Raw genomic sequence first — 27,329 nt, forward strand, 5'->3', positions numbered from 1 at the left:
ATACATTGTGTCTTTCAAGAAATTGTTCCATTTCATCTAGGTTATCAAATTTGTGGGATTAGAGTCCTTCATAATATTTCTTTGTTTTGCTTTTGGTGTCCATAGGTTCAGAAGTGATGGCCCTTTTTCATTTTTTCTATTAGTAATTTGTGTCTTTGCCCTTTTTTTTCTTTGTTAATCTGGCTAGAAGCTTATCAATTTTGTTGATCTTTTCAAAGAACCAGTTTTTGGTTTCACTGATTTTTCTCTATTAATTTTGTTTTCAATTTAATTGATTTCTGCTCTAATTGGTTTTCTTCTGCTCACTTTGGATTTAATTTTTTTTAGTTTTTCTAGAAAACTAAGTTTTTAAGTGAAAACTGAGATTATTGATTTTTAGATCTTTTTTCTAATGTTTACAGTTAACACTGTACAATTTCCTGTAAGCACTGCTTTCTCTATATCTTACAAATTTTGATGTCATATTTTCATTTTCATTTAGTTAGAAATATCTCTTGAGACTTCTTTGACCCATCTGTTATTTAGAAGTGTATTGTTTAATCTCCAAGTATGTATTTTGGGATTTTTCTGGCTATCTTTCTGCTGTTGATTTCTAGTTTAATTACATGTGGTCTGAGAGCATACCTTGTATGCTTTCTATTCTTTTCAATTTGTTAAGGTGCTCTTTGTGGCTCAAGGTGGTCTACTTTTTTTTTTTTTTTTTTTTTAAAGAAAAGCTGGCCAGGTGCAGTGGCTTATGCCTGTACTCCAGCACTTTGGGAGGCGTAAGTGGGAGGATCACTTGAGGTCAGGAGTTTGAGACCAGCCTGGGCAACATATAGAGACTTCACTTGCACAACAAATTTTTAAAATATTAGTTGGGTATGGTGGCATATACCTGTATATGGCTGAAGTGGGAGGATTGCTTGAGCCCTGGAGGTTGAGGCTACATGAGCCATGATCGCACCACTGTACTCCAGCCTGGGCAACAGAGTGAAATTTTGTTCTCTCTTGAAAAGAAAAAAAAAGTTGATGACATAAAGTTCATTCATCTTTTTTGTATGTGACTTCAAAATAACTACTGATGGTTAAAAAAAAAATCAGAATGATGCAACCCAAGTGTCCATCAATGGATGAATAGATAATATGTGGTGTATGAATACAATGGGCTACTATTATTCAGCCTTTAAAAATAAGAAAATGCTGACACTGCTGTAACATGGATGAACGTTCAGATCATTATGCTAAATGAGAAAAGCCAGACACAAAAGGACAAATATTGCATGATTGCACTTATATGAGGTATCTGGAATATAAGAGTCATAGAAACAGTAATTCAGTAATTAGAATAATGCTTGCCAGGGCCTGTGGGGAGGAGGGAATGAGGAATTCATGTTTAATGGGTACAGAGTTTCATTTGGAAAAGATTAAAAAGTTATGGAGGTGGATGGTGGTGAGGATTGCACAACAGTGTGAATGTACTTAATACCACTGAACTGTACACCTAAAAATGATTAAAATGGTACATTTTATGTTACATATGTTTTACAACAATTTTTACAGATGGAAAAAAATTATAAAAAACATCAGGATGGTGTTGACAGTGAAAAGGTTAAAGAGTTACTTTAAAAATTTACTTTATTCCAGCCGGGTGCGGTGGCTCACACCTGTAATCCCAGCACTTTGGGAGACCGAGGCGGGTGGATCACCTGAGGTCAGGAGTTTGAGACCAGCCTGACCAACATGGAGAAACCCCGTCTCTACTAAAAATACAAAATTAGCCAGGTGTGGTGGCGCATGCCTGTAATCCCAGCTACTTGGGAGGCTGAGGCAGGAGAATCGCTTGAACCCGGGTGGTGGAGGTTGCAGTGAGCCGAGATCTTGCCATTGCACTCCAGCCTGGGCAACAAAGCGCAACTCCGTCTCAAAAGAAAATTTTTTTTTTTTACTTTATCCCAAATGTTTATATTTACTTTGGGGCTTATGTGACCAGTTTAATTTTCATTTGTAATTGACTTGATAGAACACACTAATGTTCAGTTAAGATTTCTTATGGTGTGGTGAGGAGTAGGATTTTTATGTAAATAAGCCCAAAATTGTATATATGAGGTTAATCTGATATTTGCAGAAGATATTCATGCATTACTGTAAGGACCACTCTGCTTATTCATTTGACCGATTTGTTACAACATGGTTAGAAATCATCAAGGTGTTTGAGATCAAAGGATCTTCAGAGGTGATTTACTCCAATCCTTTTTTAAAAAATTAATAACTTGAGCCTCAGAGAAGTTAAGTGACATTACCAAGTTCTGCTGTTAGTATAGTGACTTTATCTTTACCTGAATCCAGGGTTTCTTAGCCCTAGTCTGTAATGTGTCCTAGTGTGCCTCTAGAATCTGGTCCTGTCAGCCCAAGTCTGTTAAATCAAATAAAACCAGGGCTTGGTGCTTCACCTTGTCTTCTGCCATACCGTTGGGTTTCCTGTGGACCATGCAGATAATGATGATGGGCTCAGTGGGCTTGATAGTGATAACTCCTAAAGCAGCTCCTTCTAAGTGCGGTTCTCAATCTGAGGAAGTTAAAAAAAAAATTAGTGACTAGAACCCACTTCTCAGGTACTCTGATAAAATACATTTGTAGGGGAGTGATAGTTTTCACTTTCTTTTTTTCTTTTTCTTTTTTTTTTGAGATGGCGTCTCGCTCTTTTGCCCAGGCTGGAGTGCAATGGTGCGATCTCAGCTTACTGCAACCTCTGCCTCCCAGTTTCAAGTGATTCTTCTGCCTTAGCTTCCTGAGTAGCTGAGATTACAGGTGTGTGCCACCATGCCTGGCTAATTTTTGTATTTTTATTAGAGACGGGATTTCACCATGGTTGGTCAGGTTGGTCTCGAACTCCTAACCTTGTGATCTGCCTGCCTCAGCCTCCCAGAGTGCTGGGATTACAGGCATGAGCCACTGTGCCCAGCCTTCACATATTTTTTGAAATAATAGGCCAGTTGCGGTGGTTCATGCCTGTAATCTCACACTTTGGGAGGCCGAGGTGGGCAGATCACTTGAGGCCAGGAGTTCAAGGCCACCCTGGCCAACATGGCGAAACCCTGTTTCTACTAAAAATACAAAAAAATTAGCCGGGTATGATGGCATGTGCCTGTGGTCCCAGCTACTCTGGAAGTTGAGGCATGAGAATCGCTTTAACTTAGGAGGTGGAGGTTGCAGTGAGGCAAGATCGTGCCCCTGCACTCCAGCCTGGGTGACAGAGCGAGACTCCATCTCAAAAAAAAAAAAAAAAATCGTATGCAGTAAAGGTTGAAAACTGCTGCCCAAAGGCGCTATTAAACTATAGGTTCCCAAACCTGGCCAATTGTCAAAATCCCTCAAGAAGGGGCAGTGGGGTCTAAGGGACCCCATTGCTGTAGAGGAGATTAGTAGTCCAAGAGTGAGATGAACTGTTGGAAGTCCTCAAACTTCCAAACTATTAAAATAGAATAGTTTTGCTTCCTTAAAATAGAATAGTTTTCTTCCTCACTGATTTTTCTGTATTGATTAGAACCATAACAAGTGAATTAAACAACTACAAAATAGTTATGTGGGCCACAGACATTATTGTAATGAAGTGAAGTTTGGCTCAGGCCTTGTAACACAATTGCTTTTTGGATTAAAAGTAAAAATATTAAATTGTGAAATTATGTGTAAGTTTTAAAAAATTGGTCTTGTACAAAAGTGTTGGGTTTTTCTTTGTTTTTAACTGGATTTGTTTTTAAGCAAGACAGAATATTTATATTGTTGGAGAGTCACAAAGGAGGTGTGTTTGTGGATTTAAATGTGGAGACAGTGTGCCTTGAAATGCCCTTTATCAGTCTGATTCAAGCCACCTGCAATCATGGATTTGAACTTTTTTTTTTTTTTCCCCTGAGATAGGGTTGCCTAGGCTGGGGTGCAGTGGTGTGATCTTGGCTCACTGCAACCTCTGGCTCAGCCTCTTGGAGTACCTGGGACTATAGGCACACAACATCATATCCAGCTATTGTATTTTTTTTTTTTTTTTTTTTTATAGAGACAGAGTTTCACCATGTTGTCCAGGCTGGTCTTGAACTCCTGAGCTCAAGCAACTCACCTGCCTCGGCCTTCCAGAGTGCTGAGATTATAGGTGTGAGCCACCATGCCCAGCCTTCACTTTATTTAAAAACCATAGTTTTTAAAAGCCACATTCCTACTGATGAACACAGAGGTTGTTTCCAGTGTTTTCATTTGCAGGGCTGTAGTGATTGTTTTTGCACATGCCTCTTTATGTACATGTGCTGTGTCTTCTGGGACAGAGAGTGGACATTTTAAGTGTTTTATTGGTCCTGCTAAATTGTCTTTCAGCCAAACTGCTGCAGAGGTGATGGAGATGAGGTGGGTACTCAGGAGAATTATGCTCAGTGCTTGTGTGCTAGTCACTGACCTGGAAACATTTTATTAAAAATGCTAGATTAGGTTAGTGATGTAAATACCAGGTGATAGTAACCAGAATAATTGTGTCAAAACATCAAGAATCATCAAGAGATGCCAGGCATGGTGGCTCATGCCTGTAATCTCAGCCCTTTAGTAGGAGGCCGAGGTGGGCAGATTGCTTGAGCTCAGGAGTTCAAGACCAGCCTAGGCAACATGGTGAAACCCTGTCTCTACCAAAAATACAAAAATTTGCTGGATGCAGTGGTACGTGCATGTGGTCCCAGCTACTCAGTAGGCTGAGGCGGGAGGATCGCTTGAGCCTGGGAGGCAGAGGTTGCAGTGAGCCAAGACTACACTACAGCCCGGGCAACAGAGTGAAACCCTGCCATAAAAAAAGGAGAAAAAGAATCATCAAGAGAAAACTTAATTTGATGTGCTCTGCGTTTTCTTTGGTGCTTCATGTCAGTGTTAGAAACTATAGGTTGTATATTTATTAATTTTTCTCCTACATTTGTTCAACTTGACTAAAATATTAACTCCAAATGCCTAGAATTTCAAAATACCTCTTCGTTATAAAGTATCAACTATTTCTTAGTCCCCTTAAGCTGATAGTATTGTGTCATTGTAAAAGATCCCTTGTGAAAAATAATTTTTGTCAACATGAAAGGTCTTAATGTGTCTCCTAGTTTACATTTTACATGGTCTTTTCCATGTATTTATATAGTTGACATATATAGCTTTTTTTGTAAATACACTTTCCTATGTGAACATGCCAAGGTTTACTTAAGCATTCTCTTATTCTTGGACATCTAAATTGCTTCTTATTTTCTATTGTAAATAAAGTGCTAGAAGCTTCTTTCCTGAAAAGTTATTTACTTTTCACCTAGTATTTCCATCTGTGTTCCTCAAAATAAGATTGCTGAGATTCATGTATGTTGCCAGAAAGATTGTGAGGTTTAACAGTGAATGAGGAAAACTTTTAACACTCAAGGTCTACCAAGTACAGCAAGTTTTATTTTACCTTTTTTTTTTTTTTTTTTTTTTTTTTTTTTTGAGTTAGGCCAAGTTGCCTAGGCTGGGCTCAAGCAATCCTTCTGCCTCAGCCTCCGGAGTAGCTGGGATTATAGGTGTGCAGCACCACACCCGGCTTTCTTGTATTTTTTTTTTATTTTTATTTATTTATTTATTTTTGAGATGGAGTTTCACTCTTGTCACCCAGGCTGGAGTGCAATGGCCCAATCTCGACTCACCGCAACCTCTGCCTCCCAGGTTCAAGCGATTCTTCTGCCTCAGCCTCCCAAGTAGCTGGGATTACAGGCATGTGCCACCACACCCGGCTAATTTTTCTATTTTTAGTAGAGACGGGGTTCCTCCATGTTGGTCAGGCTGGTCTCAAACTCCCGACCTCAGGTGATCCACCCACCTGAGCCTCCCAAAGTGCTGGGATTACAGGTGTGAGCCACCGTGCCTGGCTGCTTTCTTGTATTTTATCTTGCTGTAGCGGTTGTGGGATTTTTGCCTGGTGTGTTCATTGGAGTGTGTGTGTGTGTTTTGAGATGTATGACTGTGTTGGTTGTGTTGTCATACTTTGAAGGTTCATTAATGTGCTGGTCTTTCTATTTTTCTTGTTATACTTAGTCACTTAAAAACCCTTTTTTTTTTTTTTTTGGAATTCTTATTTTTACAGTACTTTGAATTCCTGTTTTATTAATCACCTTCTTATCTGAAAGTGAAGTAATAGTGTACTTGGCACCATTGAATTAGAAAATTGTGTGTCCTTGGCCAGAAGATCACATACACAGGAACTCGATAAGTTGAGAGATTTAGCCGTTTCAGAAATGGGCATTTGTGTCTTCCAGTGGAGAAGCATCTGCAAAAGAATTGGGCAGATTTGGCCAGGCGCGGTAGCTCATGCCTGTAATCCCAGCACTTTGGGAGGCCGAGGTGGGCAGATCACCTGAGGTCAGGAGTTTGAGACCAGCCTGGCCAACATGGTGAAACCCCGTCTCTACTAAAAATACAAAATTAGCCAGGCGTGGTGGCTAACCCATTTAAAGTGGGTGAATTATATCTTTTATGTTTTAATGTATTCCTAGAGTTGTGCAACCATCACCAGAATAAGTTGTAGAACATTTTCATCAACCCAAAAAGAAACTTTGTATTCATTAGTCGTTCCTCCTCATTTCTCCCCTAACCTCCCAGCACTAGGCAACCATCAGAATACTTTTTGTCTCCACGGATTTGACTGTTTTGGACATTTCATATTAATGGAATGCACAATACAGTAGTATAATACATTAATTTTGGAAGGCCAAAATTAATGGCTTTTGATGTCTGCCTTTTTTCACTTAGAATAATGTCTTCCAGGTCCATCTGTGTTATAGCATGTATCATTACTTTATCCTTTATGTGGCTGGGTAATATTCCATTGTATGGTTATACCATGTTTTGTTTATCTATTCATCAGTTGATGGACATTTAGGTTGTTTTCCATTGACTATTAAGAGTAATGCTGCCGGCCGGGCGCGGTGGCTCACGCCTGTAATCCCAGCACTTTGGGAGGCTGAGGCGGGTGGATACGAGGGTCAGGAGATCGAGACCATCCTGGCTAACACGGTGAAACCCCGTCTCTACTAAAAAACAAAAAATTAGCCGGGCGTGGTGGCGGGCGCCTATAGTCCCAGCTACGCAGGAGGCTGAGGCAGGAGAATGGCGTAAACCCGGGAGGCGGAGCTGGCAGTGAGCCGAGATGGCGCCACTGCACTCCAGCCTGGGCGACAGAGCGAGACTCCATCTCAAAAAGAAAAAAAAAAGAGAATAATGCTGCCATCATGCTTGAGGGTTTTTTTTTATTTTGTTTTGTTTTGTTTGTGGGGGGAGCGGAGGGCACAGTCTCACTCTGTTACGCAGGCTGGAGTGTAGTAGGCTTACTGCAGCCTCCTCCGCCCCCTGGTTCTAGTGATTCTTGTGCCTCAGGCTCCTGAGTATCATGCTGCAATTTTTGTGTGAGCATACATTTTTCATTTCTCTTGGGTCAATATCTAGGAGTATCCCCACTTTTGGTTCTGAGTGTTAATTGAGCCTGTTGTGTTCTCACATTCCCTGTACTTAGATGGAAATAGTGCTTTGCCTAAAAAGAAAATAAAAGACCTGATTGTGCAGGCGAGTGAGAAAGAGAGAGAGGCGCTAGGGTTATTTCCACCCTGATACTCTTTGGGTAGTCTTGGTATGACTAGCAAAGAAGCAAGCTCCAAGTTGTAGTTTGCTTCCAAGTTTCTGGCTTCTGTGGGAATTTCTGCATCTAAGTAATGACAATTTTCAGTTACTTGCAGTAAGTAAATTATCAACCAATCTTACTGTGTATTACTAGCCTAGTAGGAATTTACTTGTATATCGAGAGGAATGCTGCAGCTTTCACCTTACTTCTAATGGGGATTAATGCTTACTTAACTTGCAGTTTTGGAGGCAAGTACAAAGTACAGGACCAATTATGGTCATGAAGTGAGAGAGAAGTCTGGCTAGTGAATGGTGATTGGCAACTCCAGTTGACTGTTCATGGCATCTTAGATCTGTGAGGAGGGAGGAGGGAAGGAAAGTTCAAGCTGGTCTTTATGGTAAGTTCTGGAACATTTCCCTGTGTCAATGGGTCATCTGTTCATTCACTGTGTAAAATGGTTGAGGGAAGTTTTAATTTACATGCTTCCTTATTGTGTAAACCTTTGATTTTTAGTGATTTCAGAGTTTGTTTTTATAATTACTTAACACGTGAAGAGGATGCAGAGTAACGTATCGAAGCTCTGGTTACCTTCCACTGGGATTTGACACATTTGATTTCCTTTATTCCCTCCTTCCTTCCCTTCCTCCCTCTCTCTTTTCTTAAGGAATGCAACTACTCAGATTCACCTGCACACCCTTGGCATACCTCTCACTCCCCCTTACCCCCACTTCCTCAGAGGTGACCTGTCCTCAGAGGCAAATGTGTGCCCTTTCCATCCGTACTTTTATGCTCTCATCTATGTTTACATCTATTAGTACACTATTGTCTGTATTTTTAAACATTACATAAATGGTGTAATTTTTACTTTTAATTCTGTAGTGGTGTTTCTCAAATTAAGTTCTGCACAAAACATTTTTATAGATATCCAGTGTTAGCTTAACGTTTTTCTTATTGTGGTAAAATATACATAAGATAAAATTTACCATTTTAGCCATTTTTAAGTTTACAAGTCAGTGGCATTAAGTACATTCACAGTGTTGTATAACCATCACCATTGTCCATTGCCAGAACTTTTCATCATCCTAAACAGAAACTCTGTACTCATTAAACAATAGTTTATCACTCCTTCCCTGCAACTAGATGCTGGCAATCACCATTCTACTTTCTATCTCTATCAATTTGCCTCTTCCATCTAAGTGGAATCCTACATATTTGTCGCTTTGTTTCTGGCTTTTTTTTCTTCTTGTGATGCTTTGTTTTAATTATGTTCCTGGCTTTCATCATCTAGCAGGCTGATTCCAAGGTTTGTCCATGTGGTAGCTTGTATCACTTTAATGTTTTTAGAGATAGTTAATATTACATTGTTTATATATACCACATTTTGTTTTTTCATTCAACCTTGATGGACATTTGAATTGTTTCCCCCTTTACCTGTTGTGAATAATGCTGCCGTGAACATTGATAACCAAATATTTGTTTGAATCTCTGATTTCAGTTCTTTTGGTTCCATACCTAGGAGTGGAATTGCTGGATCATATGATAATTCTATGTTTAACTCTTTGAGGGATGGCCAGACTTTTCCACCATAGCTAAATCATTTTACCTTCCCACAAGCAAAGTTCAAGGGCTCCAGTCTCTCCCCATAAGGTCCTTTGCACTTTTTTTTTTGAGACGGAATCTCACTCTGTTGCCCAGGCTGGAGAACAGTGGCACCATCTTGCCTGACCTCAAGTGGCACCTGCCTTGGCCTCCCAAAGTGCTAGGATTGTAGGCGTGGGCCACTGCACTCTGCCAATTTTTTAATTTTTATTTTCATTTATTTTTCTTTTTTTAATTTTTAATTTTTTTATTTTTTGAAGGGATAAGGTCTCACTTTGTTGCCCAGGCTGGTCTTGAACTCCTGGCTTCAAGCAATCCTCCTACCTCGGCTTCTCAGAGTGCTGAGATTATAGGTGTAAGCCCCTGCACATGGCCTTTACTCTCTTGATAGTGTCCTTTGATGCACAAAAGCTTTCAATTTTGATGAAGTTTATTTTTTATCTTGTTACCTGTACATTTGGTGTCATATATCTAAGAGACCATTGCCAAATGCAGTGTCATGAAGCTTTCCCTCAGTGTTTTCTTTCTGCAGTTTTATGATTTTAGCTCCTAAGTTTAGGTCTTTGATCCATTTTGAGTTAATTTTTGTATACAGTTTGAGAGTCACACTTGAGGCTCTGGGCGCAGTGGCTCACGCCTGTAATCCCACTACTTGGGGAGGCCGAGGCGGATGGATCACCTGAGGTCAGGAGTTTGAGACCAGCCTGGCCAACATGCCGAAACCCTGTCTCTACTAAAAATACAAAAATTAGCCAGGCATGGTGATGCATACCTGTGGTCCCAGCTACTTGGGAGGCTGAGGCAGGAGAATTGCTTGAACACAGGAGGCGGAGGTTGCAGTGAGCCGAGATTGTGCCACTGCACTCCAGCCTGGGCGACAGAGCGAGACTCCATCGTGCGGGGTGGGGGGTAAAAGTCAAACTTGAGTCTTTTGCCTGTGGATATCCAGTTTTCCCATCACTATTTGTTGAAAAGACTATCCTTTCTCAACTGTGAATGGTCTTGGTACCCTAGCTGAAGTTATTTTTATTATTATGTTACTTAGGAATGCACATAAGGCCTGGCACGGTGGCTCATGCTTGTAATTGCAGCACTTTGAGAGGTCAAGGTGGGAGGATTCCTTGAGCCGAGGAGTTTGAGACCAGCCTGGGCAATATAGCAGCAAGACCCCATCTCTATATTTTAAAAAAAGAAGAAAAAAAAACCTCTGATGCATAAAATATTTAAACTTGTATGCATTCTTTTCTTTCTTTATTTTTTAAAAATTGAGACAGCAGCTTACTCTGTTGTCCAGGCTGGTCTTGAACTCCTGGGCTCAAGCAGTTCCTCTCACCTTGGCCTGCAGTGCTGAGATGACAGGTGTGAACCACTACACCTGGCCTGCTTACAGATTATAAAAAGAAAATAAGTTTACAAGTTAAAGACAGATAAAATGACAAAATCAGTAAAATTAAAATTACTTTTATGGAGCCGATGATGTTTATTCCAGTTGCTCCTCTCATTGTGAATATGGTATTGTTGCTGTGGCAGATTTGGAGGCCGTGGCAGATTTGGAGGCTTTGGCAATGGCTTCTGTTACCTTGCCATGAGGTAACTCAGTTCCCTCATCACTTTTCTCTGAGAACTATAAAACCTTGGAGGGGTGCCTTCTGCCCTTCGCTTGGCATGTATATTATGCAGGGATCAGGTCTTACTCCGTTCTTGATTGTTAGTACAAATTAGTTAAAATTGTATTGTTTGGCCTTAGCCTGATGGTAAACACAACAGCACACGTGGGCTGTGAAATCTCTGGGCAGCTCTGTGTTTCTAGGGAAGCATCTCGATGATCCAGAACAGGCTTATACTAATGTTTTAGTGTAATTTTGAAATGAAAACACAGCATTTAAAAATTCTTATAGAGAATGTATAGACCTTGAGAAGTGTTAGCAGACCCAGTTTACGACATGTCTCAATATTATGAAACATTGCTTTATTCCCTATCCTGCTTGTACATTTAATTTTTTCATCCAGTTTTAAACAACTTGGGTACTGTGGCCTGTGCCTGTATTCCCAGCTACTAGGGAGGCTGAGGCAGGAGGATTGCTTGAGCACAGGACTTTGAGGGCTGTAGTGAGCTGTGATTGTGCCTGTGAATAGCCATTGTGCTCCAGCCTGGGCAACATAGCAAGACCCTGATACCTTGGGTTTTTAAAAAACAAAACAAGATACATGCTGACATTTCTGGTTTGGCAGGCAGAGCTTGTTCTGCTCCCCACCCTCCCTTTTCCCATAGTAACCATTTATAGGACATCTCACTGTTGTCTACTCTGTGTTGCCTCTGCTTCCCTGCGTGGTAGATCTAGGAATCTTAGGATTTCTTAGTTTTAGCTGGTGATCCGTATCTTTTTCTTAATTCCATTGTAACTTCAGCTTTTCTTATTGCTTGTAGGAAGGCTGTTTCCATTGAATACAAACAAAATAAAAGCTTTTATTCTTAATCTTAGAGATAGGATGTTTGTATTTAAAAATAATTGTGCTGTCAAAATTCTGTCAAGTTGGCTTTTACCACATTAGTTTTTTTTAATGTGGTTTATATGACCCTGGAGTACCTTGTCTTCTCACTGTTAAATTCTCAACTGAGTTGTCCCTATTTAAAGTGTGAGACTGTGCCAGTTTGATTTTAAAATATTGCAAGTGCGTTATGGCAAGATAAAACTGCAAAGAAAGAACCTTCATGTCCCTTTGATTATAAATGCTTTTGGCACTTGTTTCTACTTTTTCCTAATGTTTTTTGAGGAAAGAACCTCCAACTCTCCAGACAGGTCTGGGGGCAAATGACTAAAACATGAACTGAGGCCCTGGGCTGTCTCTGTGAGGATATCCCCTCTATTCTCTCTGAAATGTCCCAGCATGTGGTGCATTTCTTGTTAGTGTGGACTCCTCTGTATATAACACATCTTATTTATCTTCTGTGCATAACATGAAGTAGTGCCCTAATGCAATTCCAGGATGTAATTCAGCATTTCTATAAAAATACAGTGTTTTTCTACATTTGCATCAAAAAATAACCAGATAATTATATTTATTAAGAAAATAGCATTTTTGGCTGGGTGTGGTAGCTCACGTAATCCCAGCACTTTGGGAGGCCGAGGCAGGCAGATCACTTGAGGTCAGGAGTGAGGCAGGCAGATCACTTGAGATCAGGAGTTCGAGACCAGCCTGGCCAACATGGTGAAACCCCATCTCTACTAAAAATGCAAAATTAGCCTGGCGTAGTGGTGCATGCCTGTAATCCTAGCTACTCAGGAGACTGAGGCAGGAGAATCACTTGAACTTGGGAAGGGGAGATTGCAGTGAGCTGAGATTGTGCCACTGCACTCCAGCCTAGGCAACAGAGTGAGACTCTGTTTCAAAAAAAAAAAAAAAAAACAAAGAAAAGAAAAGAAAGAAAGAAATGTATTTTTGGTATTTGTTTTCACAAACTAGAGCATTTATGTGAAATAACATTGCTAGTATTGATATTATACCATAGTATAATACTTAGTTCTTCAGCGATGTATCTCTGCTGATCAGCTACATGATATCTACTTGAGCTGTTGGATTTTTTTTAAGAACAGTGCATTTTTGAATGCTTTTGAAAAATTGTAGTAAAATACATAAAACAACATTTACCTTGTAAGCATTTTAATTGGTACAATTCAGTGACATTAAGTACAGTCCCAGTTTAGTGCAACCACTGTTACTGTCTAGTTTCAGAACGTTTTTGCCCCAGATGGATACTCTGTACCTGTTGAACATTCAGTCCTCATGGCCCAATAATCTTTATGTCTGTATAGATTTGCCTATTCTGCATATTTTATATAAATGGAATCATGTCTTTTGTGTCTGGCTTCTTTTACCTAGCATAGTATTTTCAAGGTTCATCCATGTTGCAGCATGTTTCAATACTTTGTTCCTTTTTATGTCCATTGTATGGATATGCCACATTTCGTTAATGACAATTCTTTTGGGTAGCTACATTTTAAAACATTATAGTAGAATACATATAGCATACAATTTACTATCTTAACCATTTAAGCCTGCAGTTCAGTGGCATTAAATACATTCACGTTACTGTGCAATTATCACCACCATCTGTTTGCAGAAACTTTTCATCTCCTCCATTTGAAACTCTGTATACATTAAACATGAACTCTCCCTTCTCCCCTTCCTCCAGCCCTGGCAGCCACCGTTCTACATTTTTATCTTTCTGACAGAGATTTTACTACTCTAGGTACCTCACATAAGTGAAATCAACCAGTATTTATCCTTTTGTGACCAGCTTATTTCATTAGCTTAATGTCCTCAAGGTTCATCCATGTTGTAGCATATGTCAACATGACTTTCCTTTTAAGGTTGAATAATATTCCATTGTATGTATATGTCACAATTTGTTTCTCCATTTATCCATCACTGGACATTTGGGTTGCTTTTACCTATCGGCTGTCTTGAATCATGTTGCTATAGCTGTACAAGTATCTATTTGAGTTTCTGCTATCAATTCTTTAAGTATATGCCCAGAAGTGGAATTGCTGGATCATATGGTAATTCCGTGTCTGGTTTTTTTTTTGAGGAAGTGCCATGCTGTTTTCCACACAGCTGTACCATTGTACATTCCCCCCAGCAATGTACGAGGGCTCTGATTTCTTCACATCCTTGCTAACACTTAGTATTTTTTTTGATAGAATAGCCATCCTAATGGCTACTTTTAAAGTATGTTTAACATTATTTATTTATTTTTAATTTTTTTTGTAGAGATGGCATCTTACTGTGTTGCCCAGGCTGGTCATGAACTCCTGGGCTCAAGCAGTCCTCCTGCTTCAGCCTCCCAAAGTGTTCGGATTATAGGCGTGAGCCACCATGCCCAGCCCAAATTTAAATATATAACTAAACACATAGCAGCTAACACCAAGCCTTTAAAAATATCATTAATAGGCCAGGCGCAGTGGCTCATGCCTGTAATCCCAGCACTTTGGGAGGCCGAGGCGGGCAGATCACCTGAGGTCGCGAGTTCGAGACCAGCCTGACCAACATGGAGAAACCCTGTCTCTACTAAAAATACAAAATTAGCCGGGCATGGTGGCACATGCCTGTAATCCCAGCTACTGGGGAGGCTGAGGCAGGAGAATCACTTGAACCTGGGAGGCGGAGGTTGCGGTGAGTCGAGATCGCACCATTGCCCTCCAGCCTGGGCAACAAGAGCAAAACTCCATCTCAAAAAAACAAACAAACAAACAAAATATATATATCATTAATAGGCCGGGCATGGTGTCTCACGCTTGTAATCCCAGTGCTTTGAGAGGCCGAGGTGGGCAGATCACTGGGGTCAGGAGTTCGATACCAGCCTGGGCAACATGGTGAAACCCTGTCTCTGCTAAAAATACAAAAATTAGCCACGCATGGTGGTAAGCACCTGTAATCCCAGCTACTCAGGAGGCTGAGGCTGGAGAATGCTTGGACCTGGGAGGTGGAGGCTACAGTGAGCTGAGATCACACTCCAGCCTGGGTGACAGAGCAAGACTCTGTCTCAAAAAAAAAAAAAAAAATCATTAATAAATGTGATCTTTTTTCTTCCTATACAACAAGTTGTCAAGCAAGTATGACCTTCTTAATTGACCCTTTGACATGAACTGGGATGAGATCGTGGAGGATGTTGAGGAGACAGTTGTTACCATAGTGCACTTCTAAAAACTTTAATTCTATAGATTTCTTTAAAATTTTTTTTAAAATTATTATGAGTACACAATAGGTGCATCTATAGATTTCATTACCCTCAAATAAATGTACAAGGCAATGCAGAGAAATGCACAGTGTAACTTGGTAGACTTGACCTATCAAGTTACTGTTGAATATATTATGGAGCCTGTGTATTACCAGGGGCAGCAGACTTTTCCTGTAAAGATAGTTGTTTTCAGCTTTGTTGAATCTGTGGTCTCTGTCTTAACTACAACTGAGAAAGCCATTGACAATATATAGATGAATGTACATGACTATTCTAATAAAACTGTGTACACTGTAATTTGAATTGCACATAATTTTCATGTGTCTCCTGTATAATTCTTCTTTTGACTTCTTTTCAACCATTAAAAAATGTAAAAACAGGCCAGGCGTGGTGGCTCATGCTTGTAATCCCAGCACTTTGGGAGGCTGGGTGGATTGCTGGAGCCCAGGAGCTTGAGATCAGCCTGAGCAATGTGATGAAACCCTGTCTCTACAAAAAATTAGCTGGGCATGGTGTTATGTGCCTGTGGTCCCAGCTACTTGGGAGGCTGAGGTAGGAGGATTGCCTGAACCCGAGGAAGTCAAGGCTACAGTGGTTTGTGCCACTGCACTCTAGCCTAGGTGACAGAGTGAGACCCTGTCTCAGTGAATGAATGAATACATTATTAGCTTGTGGACTATACAAAAATCAGAGGCTGGAGGTGAGCTGGGTATGGCCATTGGGTGTGGTTTGCTGACTTCTGGTAGAGAGGAATTAGGAGATGTTAAAGGTGGTGGAACTGTCAGATACTTGCATTCTTTTAGAAATACTTTGGAGTTAGCTTTTTGGTTCAGGCAAAGGACCAAAGGGTTAGGAGAGTCAGGCCGGTAAAGAGGAGTGGTGGGCCCATAGCAGCAGTTCCTGGAGTTTTTTTTTTTTTTTTTTTTTTGTGAGACGGAGTTTTGCTCTGTCGCCCAGGCTGGAGTGCAGTGGCACGATCTCGGCTCACTGCAACCTCTGCCTCCTGGGCTCAAGCAATTCTCCTGCCTCAGCCTCCCGAGTAGCTGGGACTACAGGTGCCCACCGCCACGCCCGGCCAATTTTTTTCTATTTTTAGTAGAGATGGGATTTCACCGTGTTTGCTAGGATGGTCTCGATCTCCTGACCTCGTGATCCACCTGCCTCGGCCTCCCAAAGTGTTGGGATTACAGGTGTGAGTCACCGCGCCTGGCCAGGTCCTGGAGTCTTTAAGAGGAGGTTTGTCTGATGGTTGGTTGGACAAAAGCCTGGGCATGTTGTCACCTTCCATAAGTGTTTGTGGGAATGTAGGTAATGAGGAGGAGTAAAGGATTCCTGAAGGATGAGGAGGAGGGCTGGTGGCTGCCATAGGAAGTGATCACTGTTTTGGCAGACCTGTCTTAGAGTAATGACCGTCATACTCTCTCATTGCCCTTGTGAACTCATGAAATCCCATGGCTGCTAAAGCTGAAGGTCAAGTGGGGACTTCCCGGCCACTGGGCTTAGCACCCCACAGAGCTGTGGAGTGGGCATTAATGTCCCTTTTTTATAGATGCGGAGACTGAGAATGAGGACTGTTGGTAACTTTTGAAAGGGCACTCAGCTAGAAAAGTCTGAGCCAGGATTTCAAGTCCCATGGCTTTACCTCTGTGGTCCTAATATTTGGTGTGTTCAAGTGAGATCTGTTTTTTTCCTATTTCATTTTGATTATTGATTTTCATAAATTTTTTTCTCTTTTGAGATAGTATCTTCTCTCTCTTTTCTTTTTTCTGTTCTTTCTTTCTCTTTTCTTTCTTTTTTTTTTTTTCTCTGAGACGGAGTCTTGCTCTGTCGCCCAGGCTGGAGTGCAATGGTGCAATCTCAGTTCACTGCAACCTCTGCCTCTCGGGTTCAAGCGATTCTCCCATCTCAGCCTCCTGAGTTGCTGAGATTACAGGCACCTGCCATCTTGCCTGGCTAGTTTTTGTATTTTTGTAGAGACGGGGTTTCATCACGTTGGCCAGGCTGGTCTTGAACTTCTGACCTCAGGCGATCCACCCGCCTCTGCCTCCCAAAGCGCTGTGATTATATGCATGAGCCACCATGCCTGGCCATTATTTCTTTCTTTCTTTCTTTTTCTTTTTTTCAGGTTCATTGAATTTGCTTTGAGACAGGGTCTTGCTCTGTTGCCCAGGCTGAAGCGCAGTGGTGCAGTCATGGCTCACTGGAGCATCAATTTCCTGGGCTCAAGCGATACTTGCACTTCAGCACCCCTCCACCCCCACCCGCTCCTTTCCCCCACAGTAGCTGGAACTACAGGCGCTAGCCACCGTGCTTGGCTAATTTTTTTTTTTTTTTTTTTTTTGAGACGGAGTCTCGCTCTGTCACCCAGGCTGGAGTGCAGTGGCGCGATCTCGGCTCACTGCAAGCTCTGCCTCCCAGGTTCACATCATTCTCCTGCCTCAGCCTCCCAAGTAGCTGGGACTACAGGCGCCCGCCACCATGCCCGGCTAATTTTTTGTATTTTTTAGTAGAGACGGGGTTTCACCGTGTTAGCCAGGATGGTCTCGATCTCCTGACCTTGTGATCCGCCTGCCTCGGCCTCCCAAAGTGCTGGGATTACAGGCATGAGCCACTGCACCCGGCCTGGCTAATTTTTAAATTTTTTTTTGTAGACTGCCCAGGCTTGTTTAATTGATTTTCTATGTGATCTTAGGGAAATCGATTATTTCCCATAAACATTTTTTTAATTAGAAGTTAAATTCTGCCTAGTTTGATTCACAGGATTATTGTGGATGACTGAAACAGAGAATAGGTAAGAGCTTCTTTGAAAAATATGAGGTACCATACAGAAGTTAGATGCTTTGTCCTGGTGATACCCCCTCCAAAGCACAGCTAAGGAAATGTGGAAGGCACTCTTATCTCATCATATAGCTTTGAAAGCCTAGCATTGAAAGTACGAACTTGATTCTTTTGGAGAAATCCTTTGGCTCTCAGTGAGTTTACTTTCTATTAATGACTGTGTTAAGCGGAATGAAAACTGAAAGAGGAAAGGGGAGGAAGTCAGAATTAAGCAGGAAGAGTGAGCCCATAGCAGAGTCCAGATTTAGACCCCAAGCTACTTGGAATGATACTGGACAATTATGGGTGTGTTTAATGATGGTCCTGAGTCATGAAAACAAAAGGAGGCTTTAAATTATGTCTGGCTTAGTGTACAGCATATTTTTGTCATTATTCAAGTTTTAGCATGTAAAGAGGAAAGTGTGCAGTACTTATGCATATCATTTTCATTAATGAAACTAAATGAGGCCTCTTTAAAATTATCAGTGTTCACAGTATCTTCCAAAAGACATGTAAATGTATAAAGGTATAAAAAATATACATATAAATTTTACAATTTTGTGAGCTATATAGTAGATCTCTTATTTTGTCCATAGGTCTTAAAGATCTTATACTGTATTCAGGAATAAAGATAACTTCAGTGGGAGGCCTTTACAGGGCTAATGAGTAAGCATTATTTTGATAAAGTTCTGTGTTGTCTACAATAGATATAGTAGAAATACTCTTGGAATGGTAATCATCCCAGGCCCTGCTTTGGAGCGGAAGAAATAGTCAATGTAGAACTTTACAGTATATTGTACACAGATGTGCCTGCTAATAACTTCTGTAGACAGCAAAGTTTAAGAGAAATTAGGTGGTAAATGCAACATATGTATCTAAATAAATTTGGTCTGAGGGATTTGATAAGATGAAACAGTACATAGTCCAGAAAATTTTTATACTCAAAGAATTATAGAAAATATCTGAAATGTTTTCAGTTTTGTGCATATCCAGAAAATGTCATCCTGTGATCTGCTGGTTGGCAGCCCAATGGCAGTATTAGATGTATTGTTTTTATTTTGTTTTGTTTGCTATTTATTTGGTTAAGAGAGTTACCTAATTAGGAGTGTGAAAAAAAAGATTTATTATAGTAGTGGGCTTTTGTTTGACTTAAAACATTTTTGTTGTTACCACAGTATGAGTGCCTTGTTTGTGAAATTTGTTTACCGGGAAGCCATATACTTAGAGTAGCTTTTAGTTTATCATTATCATCATCATCATCATCATCATCATCATCATCATCATCTCCTTCATCATGAAAGGAAGAAGCTACCAATGTTGCTTTATTCTGCAAAAAATACAATAGATGCTTGTTGAAAGTATGGAGTGAAATCTTAAATATGTCTGTTAAAAAGAGTACAACTGGCCAGGGGTAGTGCCTCATGCCTGTAATCCCAGCACTTTGGGAGGCCAAGGCGGGCAGATCGCTTGAGCCAGGAGTTTGAGACCAGCCTGGGCAACATGGTGAAATCCTGTCTCTACAAAAAAAAAAAAAATAGACAAAAATTAGCTGGGTGTGATGGCATGCAGCTGTAGTCCCAGCTACAGTGGGGCTGAGGCAGGGGGATTGCTTGAGCCCAGGAAGTAAAGGCTGCAGTGAGCTATGGTTGTGCCACTGCATTCCAGTGTGGGTAACAGAACGAAACCCTGTCTCAAAAAAAAAAAAATAGTACAACTTTAAGCAGGATGTGGGCACATGCCTGTAGTCTCAGCTACTTGGGAGGCTAAGTCAGGAGAGTCACTTGAGCCCAGGAGCTTGATGCTGCAGTGAGATGTGATTGTGCCACTGCCTTCCAGCCTGGGGATGATAGCAAGACCCCATCTCTAAAAAAAAAACAAAAAACAAAAAAAAAACAGAGTACAACAACCTTTGGTAAACTTGGAATATAAAGGTGTTTCCTTAACCTGTTAAAGAGCTGATAAAGAGTGGTACTTTCAAACCAGTACACATTATGTGAAACACTAGAGACACTTCCCATTTGTTAAAAGAAAAACCTTAGCCAAATTAAATTTAAGTTTTTTTTGGAGACAGAGTCTTGCTTTGTCACCCAGGCTGGAGTGCAGTGGTGCAAGCACAGCTCACTGCAACCTCCGCCTTCTGGGTTCAAGTGATTTTCCTGCCTCAGCCTCCTGCGTAGCTGGGACTACAGGTGTGCACCACCACGCCTGGGTGATTTTTGTATTTTTTGTAGACATGGGGTTTTGCCATGTTGCCCAGTCTGGTCTTGAACTCCTGGGCTCAAGCAATCTGCCTGCCTGGGCCTCTGAAAGTGCTGGGATTACAGGCGTGAGCCACCATGCCATTTAATGGTTTAATTGAGCAAAGAATGATTTGCAAATTGGGCAGCCTCCCGAGCCAGAGTAGGTTCAGAGACTCCAGCACAGCCATGTCGTGGAAAAAGATTTATGAATGGAAAGAGGAAAGTGATGTACCGAAAACGGAAGTGAGGTACAGAAACAGCCGGATTGGTTACAGCTCTGAATTTGCCTTATTTGAACACAAGTTGAGGTTTGTACAGTTGGCCACCTTTGATTGGCCAAAACTCGGTGATTGGCACAAGAGCAGGTTATAGTCTGTTTACATCTCCATTTTGGTTATAGTTCATTATGGACAGAAAAACCTGTAGGTCAAACTTAAAATATGTAAGGAGACAGTTTTAGGCTAAACTTGATTTAACACATTAAATCCGTAACAAGACAGGATGCCTGCCCTCACCATGTTATTTGATCTTATTTTAGTAATTCTAGCCAATGTAGTAGGGCAAGAAAACTGCCTGCTTGGCTACAAAATAAACACACAAAAGTCAGTATCTGTAATATGTGACAGAAAATATAATTAAAAAAAAAAAAAAAAGCCGGGCACAGTGGCCCATGACTGTAATCCTAGCACTTTGGGAGGCCAACGTGGGTGGATCTCTTGAGCTCAGGAGTTCAAGACCATCCTAGGCAACATGGCAAAACCCCGTCTCTACAAAAAATACAAAAAAATTAGCCACGTGTGGTGGTGAGCTCCTATAGTCCCAGCTACTTTGGAGGCTGAGGTTGGAGGATCATTTGAACCTGAGAAGCACAGGTTATAGTGAGCTGAGATCACGCCACTGCACTCCAGCCTGGGTGACAAAGTGAGACTCTGTCTAAAAAAAAAAAAAAAAGAAGAAAAGGAAAGGAAAGTAAAAGAAAAAATAATTTCACTTACTAGAGCATCAAATCCCTAAGATAATTTAGAGCAAAGCCAGAAAAGTGAAGAAAATATAAAAATCTTTACAGTGGGTTGCATTTTAAAAAAAAACTTGAAGATATCAGATCAACTCACTAATGTATTAATTAATATAATTTAAATTAAAATCCCACTGATTTTTTTGTGGGGAGGGTGGGAGAGTCATTTGTTAAAATGATTCTAAAGAGCATCTGGAAGAATAAGCAGGCAAGAATAGCCAAGAACATTTTGAAAACTAAAGATGAGTTTGGAAGACGATTGGTTTTGTACTGTCAACTACTTATAGATTTTACATGAATTTTAAAGGGTAATCTGAGCCCTCGAATAGACAGAAATAGCCATAGATCTGAAAGAACACTTAAGACCTGATCCAGCTATCCATGAGAGTATATATAATCAAAGTCTTTGTGTGTGAATCAGGAGTCTTTCAGGTGCAAGGTAAATAAACTCATAATTGCTTACGCAAAGGTGGTATTTGCTTTAGTGACTCCAGAGAAAGCTCAAGTGCCTATCTCTCCCCTGACTTTGATTCTTTTTGGGGTTGGCTCCATTCTCTCCTGTTGCTAATGGCTTCCTTTGTGCAGCCAGAGGAAAGGAGGTGTGGTTTTTTGATACTTCCAGGCTTCTATTTTTATAGCTTGAGATCAAAGAGGGAAGTGACCTTCCTTAGAGTCAGTGTGTAAAGTCCTAAGGAAGATACCACGTGGGGTGCTGGGGCCATGTGCCCATCCCTGGCCCATGACCATGGGGATGCTACACTAACTGGGGGCCACGCATGGCTGTTCCTGCCCTGAACTGCCAGCTGGCTTTGCAGTGCAGCCTCACCAGAATCACATGGAATAGTAGGGATATGAATTGTTTCCCAAAGAAAGTGTGTGGGGTGGTAGAATTACTAGTGGGGGAGTAAGGGGACAGGCCATTGGGCATACTGGAGCAGCATTTACTCAGTCATTGAGAAAAGGATGGAACATTCAATAAAGGGTGCTGGACACATTTGTGCTCTAAAAATTTTGTGTTTCACCTATTAATTTATCCCTCCCCTTAGCCCCTGGCAAACACTGATCTGTTTACTGTCTCCATAGTTTTGCCTTTCCCAGAATGTCACACCCTTGGAATCATACAGCATGTAACCTTTTCAGATTGGCTTCTTTTACGTAGTAATATGCATTTAGGATTCCTTCATGCCTTTTCCTGGATTGATAGCTCATTTCTTTTTAGTCCTGAATAATATTCCATTCTATGGATATACCACAATTGATCCATTCACCTACTGAAGGTCATTTTGATTGCTTCCAAGTTTTGATAATTTAAAAAATTTTTTAAGACAGGGTGTCATTGTGTTTTCCATACTGGTCTCCTGAACACCTGGGCTGATGTGAACCCCTCTCCTCAGCCTCCTGGGTAACTGGGATTACAGCTATACACCACTGTGCCCAGTGTGACAATTATGAATAAGGCTGCTGTAAACTTCTGTGTAGGTTTTTTTGTGTGTGGACATTGGTTTTCAGTTCATTATGGTAAATACCAAGGAGTGCAGTTGCTGGATTGTATGGTAAAAGTATGTTTAGTTTGCTAAGGAACTGCCAGCTGGGTGTGGTGGCTCATGCCTGTAATCCTAGCATAATGGGAGGCTGAGACAGGAGGATCCCTTGAAGCCAGGAGTTCGAGACTAGCCTGGGCAACATAGTGAGACCTCATCTCTACAAAAAATTTAAAAATTAGCTGGGCGTGGTCTTATGTGCCTATAGTCCTAACTGCTTGGGAGACTGAGGTGGGAGGATCACTTGAGCCCAGGAGCTGGAGGTGGCAGTAAACTGTGATCATACCACTGCACTGCTGCCTGGGTGACAAAGCAAGACCCTGACTTAAAAAAAAAAAGAGAAAAGAAAAAAAGATGAGTCAGAGGGTAAGGAAGCAAAAATAAGTAAATAAATAAATAGAAGAGAAAAGAAAAAAGAAAAAACTGTCTTTCAAAGTGGCTGCGCCATTTTGCATTCCTACCAGCAATGAATGAGAGTCTGTTGTTGCACATCCTCACCAGCATTTGGTGTTGTCAGTGTTCTGGATTTTGAATATTCTATTAGGTATATAATGCTGTCTCACTTGTTTTAATCAATGATATATGACATTGAGCATCTTTTTAATATGTTTACTTCTCATCTATGTATCTTCTTTAGTGAGGCCTTTGTTTAGGTCTTCTGCCCATTTTAAAAAATGGGTTCATTTTCTTATTGTTGAATATCATGAGTTCTTTGTCTATTTTGAATACCTGCCTTTTGCTTTATTTTTGTGTTTTTTATTTTTTTTTTTTATTGAGACAAGTTCTCACTCTGTTGCCCAGGCTAGAGTGCAGTGGCATGAACATGGCTCACTGCAGCCTCAACTTCTCCCAGCCTCAAGCAATCCTCTTGCCTCAGCCTTCCGAGTAGCTGGGACTATAGGCACACACCACCATGCCCTGCTAATTTAAAAGAGTTTTTTTTTGTAGAGGTGGGATCTCGCCATGTTACCCAGGTGGTCTTGAACTCCTGGCCTCAGGCAATCTTCCAGCCCTCAGCCTCCCAAAGTGCTGATTATAGGCCTGAGCCACTTAGCCTAGCTCAGAATTTATTTTTTATTTGTTAATTTTGAAAAAATATAGGACCTCATAAAAGTCAGTCTACATTTGTACACATTATGTTTTTGGTGAATATGTAAATGGATTCTTTGTGAATCAATTTGGTTTTGTTTTTTTGCTTTTAAAAATACCAGCCCTGGGCTGGATGCGGTGGCTCACGCCTGTAATCCTAGCACTTTGGGAGGCTGAGGCAGGTGGATCTCCTGAGGTCAGGAGTTTGAGACCAGCCTGGCCAACATGGTGAAACGCTGTCTCTACTAAAAATACAAAAATTAGCTGGGCGTGGTGGCGCATGTCAGTAATCCCAGCTACTTAGGAGGCTGAGGCATGAGAATCGATTGAACCTGGGAGGCAGAGGTTGCAGTGAGCCGAGATCGCGCCACTGCACTCCAACCTTGGCGATAGAGCAAGACTCTGTCTCAAGAAAAAAAAAAATGCCAGCAGTGGCTGGCTGAGGTGGCTCACACCTATAATCCCAGCACTTTGGGAAGCCAAGGCAGGTAGATCTCTTGTGGTCAGGAGTTCAAGACCAGCCTGGCGAACATGGCGAAACCCCATCTCTACCAAAAATACAAAAATTAGCTGGATGTGGTAGTGCGCACCTGTAATTTCAGCTGCTGGGGAGGCTGAGACATGAGAATCACTTGGACCCTGGAGGCAGAGGTTGGAGTGAGCCACTGTATTCCAGCCTGGGTGAAAGAGGGATACTCTATTTAAAAAAAAAAAAAAAAAAAGCGGGCTGGATACAGTGGTGCACACCTGTAACCCTAGCACTTTGGGAGGCTGAGGTGCTCAGATTGCTTGAGCTCAGGAGTTTGAGACCAGCCTAGACAACATAGTGAGACATCGTCCCTAAAGAAAAAAAAAAAATACCAGCACTTAGCCAAAAGATTTCAACAGTGCAGAAAAAGAAAGTTGTGATATCTTTTCTCCAAATTAGTCTTGTTTTCAGTTTCATTATCCAAGTAACCACTACTAATAGTTAAAACATTTGAAATACGTGTGGGAGCTTGTCCTATTTAATATAAATTATTTATTGAGCAAATAATCACCACTAGTATGTTTTGGATACTGGAATTTTCATATGTAGGAGTCCTTGAATGTAAGGTGCCCCTTTGGTAGTTCTGTGCTTCTTTTACCTGTACTGTAACATAGGGAAAGATGTTACAAATGGTTGTATTTTTAACAGAGCAGTATCTATTCTTAAACACCAGCCCTTCCACTAAAGGTAAACAACAAATGAATACATAAATGAAGTTTTGGTATTGGGATTATGTGGGTTAAACACATCCATATTTCATTATTAATATTTAAGAATATAACAAACTTTTTATTGGCATTTGGACCTTGTAGCTAAGGAAAGATTAAACTTTGTTTATTTGTGCTTTGTTTTTTTTCTTCACTCAGATATTTGAGGATTTCCCATTTGAGGAATACATTTATTAATCAAGCTTTAGTTTCAAGATCCTTGATCTTAGGGAATACCATCAACCGTTCTTCTTTAAGCTTCCTAACTTTGCCCAAATTTGGTTAGAACTACTCAAGAGTAGTTTGGGTAATTCAGAAATTTTATTGGAAGGGGAAAGAATTTTTGACCCAAATTAGATAAAGCAACTCTTGGGTAATGATTTCTTTTCTTGTTCTCTCTTTATAATCAATTGAAAGTAGTAGTAAGGCTGGGTGGCAAAAGAAAGAGGCCTGGGGAGAATCGCGTGGTTTTCATTATCTCTTTTCATAGCAGCAAAGTGGGAAGGGACCAAGAGGAAATCAACTGAAAAACCATCCTTCTGAAACATTGGCCTAAAAAACTGTAGTCCAGAAATTGAGTGCAACTGGCAGTGGCATTTAAAAGGAATGCTCTAATTTCTAGGAAAGCAGGCACGAGTACCTCTTAAAAGAAGAAAAAAATGAAAACTGTAATTTAGGACACATAGACGAGTATCCATTCCCTGTACTTTTACTCTCATGTCCTAACCAAGGAAGGGTTGCCATAGCAAATATGGCATTCCTTAGCCATGATTCACTGTTGTAAATGCCTGCAGCATTCATAAAAGTAAGATATATGGGCTCTTCTTTTTCCTTTTAAATCTTTATTTCTGTATTTAAATCTGTATGTCATCATCTGTATTTTCTCTCTTGTTTTTTTTAAATCTTGGGAGATGGTACAAATTATTTAGGGGAGGGAATGAGTTTCTTGTCCACAAATAGAGGAGAGAGAGGGCTTTTTGTCTTTCTGCTTTGGAACTGGAGAGCTTCCTATTTAGGCATGGCCTTTTTCAAGTGACCTTGTATTGTTATCAGTACTGTAGAAGGTAGGCACGTTGTGTAAACTTTAAAATTGAAAGCCATTAGGCATTCCACTTGTAAACCTTGGCTTTTTAAAGAAAATTACATGTTCATTGTGAATATTTTCTTATCGACCTATCTCTGTGCACATGCAGACTTCCTTTGCCTACATTCTGAAAGGTGTAATTGCCTTCTTTAAGGACAGCGGACATCTATAGTTCTTGGGTCAAATTGTCCTCCTTCTGGTTTTGTCAGTTCTCAGCCACACTGTGTGAGCATCCATTTTCTTGGATTCTGGTTCGGAGCTCATTTTAAGGAACATCATGTCCCTTTTGAGACTCTGTGGACATTGGGGTGGGTAGATGTCCCCCTGTGAACAGAAGGTCCCTCCCTAAGGAGGTGCTTCTCTGTGTTGAGTCCTGCATCTGGGCACACAGAGCCCGAAGCAGGAAGAGTTGAGTCTGAATAGGGAGGCCTGTAAGCCTGACTGCTCTGCCACGGGTAGGCCTGGTCTGCCATGCTCCAGGAGCCCCCAGGAGGCTCTGAAGTCATTCTGCCTCTGGGAATTTTACAGAGGAGCTAATATTTGAGCTGAGTGAGAAGGTGATTCTTGAAAAAGCAAGGCGTGCCCTGGTCCAGTTCTGTGGGGCTGTCGTAGAAGAGGGCTCGGAAGCTCTTGGGAGTGAGGCTAGAAAGGTAGGCAGTGTTACCATAAGGAGGTTGGAAGTGACACAGATAGGCTAAGGAAGGGGACTTCAGTAATCATGCAGCAATGGCCTGGAAAAGGGAGAGGCTCATAGTAGGGAGACCAGTTTGGAGGCTGCCATAGTGTTCTACTGAGAGAGAAAAAGACTTGAACTCAGAGCACGGTCAGGGAAGGTGGAGGGGCAGGGTCTGATTTGGAAGTGTTTTGTTTTTTGGTTTTGGGAACAAGGATTTGGAAACCTCTTGGCTCCGTAGATGAAGAAAGGTGAACCAAGGAAGACTGAAGTTTCCACTCAAGGAAACAGTAACTCAGGGAAGAAAACACAGGAGTAGGAATAGGTTTAAGAGAATGACAAGCAGTTGTGTTTTGGACTTGTTTAGTTCGAGGTGACATCTTTGTAGGGATGTCTAGCTGGTAGCTGCAAGTATAGGAGGAGGCTGGATGTGTGCATGAGTTTCTTGGTAAAGATCCATCTGCAGTCTCCTGAAGATGTCACCCAGATTGCCCTGCCATCACCCCAGGGCCTTGAGTCACTCGCTTCTCTTGGTGTCTAGGCAGGCTTGAAGAAAATCAAACAGTACAAAATCATGCAAATTCAGACCTCTATTCCACCCCAGAGGAAAGTCCTGCTAGCAGTTTTTGTGTATTCTTCCAGAAATTTGCCTTGCAACGCGTTTG

At 41.1% G+C, this 27,329-nt stretch overlaps 1 protein-coding gene across 10 annotated transcripts in view, besides 2 other annotated features; it reads left to right on the forward strand.

Annotated features, from left to right (window-relative positions):
• The window catches only part of TENT4B (terminal nucleotidyltransferase 4B), an 82,400-nt gene that overhangs the window by 24,546 nt on the left and 30,525 nt on the right, over positions 1 to 27,329 (forward strand). The gene's annotated exons all lie outside the window — the stretch shown is intronic.
• Positions 6,521 to 7,083: an enhancer, noted in NCBI's record as "H3K4me1 hESC enhancer chr16:50217888-50218450 (GRCh37/hg19 assembly coordinates)". NCBI's record gives its function as "activates a minimal SCP1, AML or CMV promoter by ChIP-STARR-seq in primed H9 embryonic stem cells {active_cell/tissue: H9 hESC(primed)}" and the evidence as "EXISTENCE:reporter gene assay evidence [ECO:0000049][PMID:30033119]".
• Positions 7,084 to 7,645: an enhancer, noted in NCBI's record as "H3K4me1 hESC enhancer chr16:50218451-50219012 (GRCh37/hg19 assembly coordinates)". NCBI's record gives its function as "activates a minimal SCP1, AML or CMV promoter by ChIP-STARR-seq in primed H9 embryonic stem cells {active_cell/tissue: H9 hESC(primed)}" and the evidence as "EXISTENCE:reporter gene assay evidence [ECO:0000049][PMID:30033119]".

This window comes from Homo sapiens, chromosome 16 (assembly GCF_000001405.40).
Source record: "Homo sapiens chromosome 16, GRCh38.p14 Primary Assembly".
NCBI lineage: Eukaryota > Metazoa > Chordata > Mammalia > Primates > Hominidae > Homo > Homo sapiens.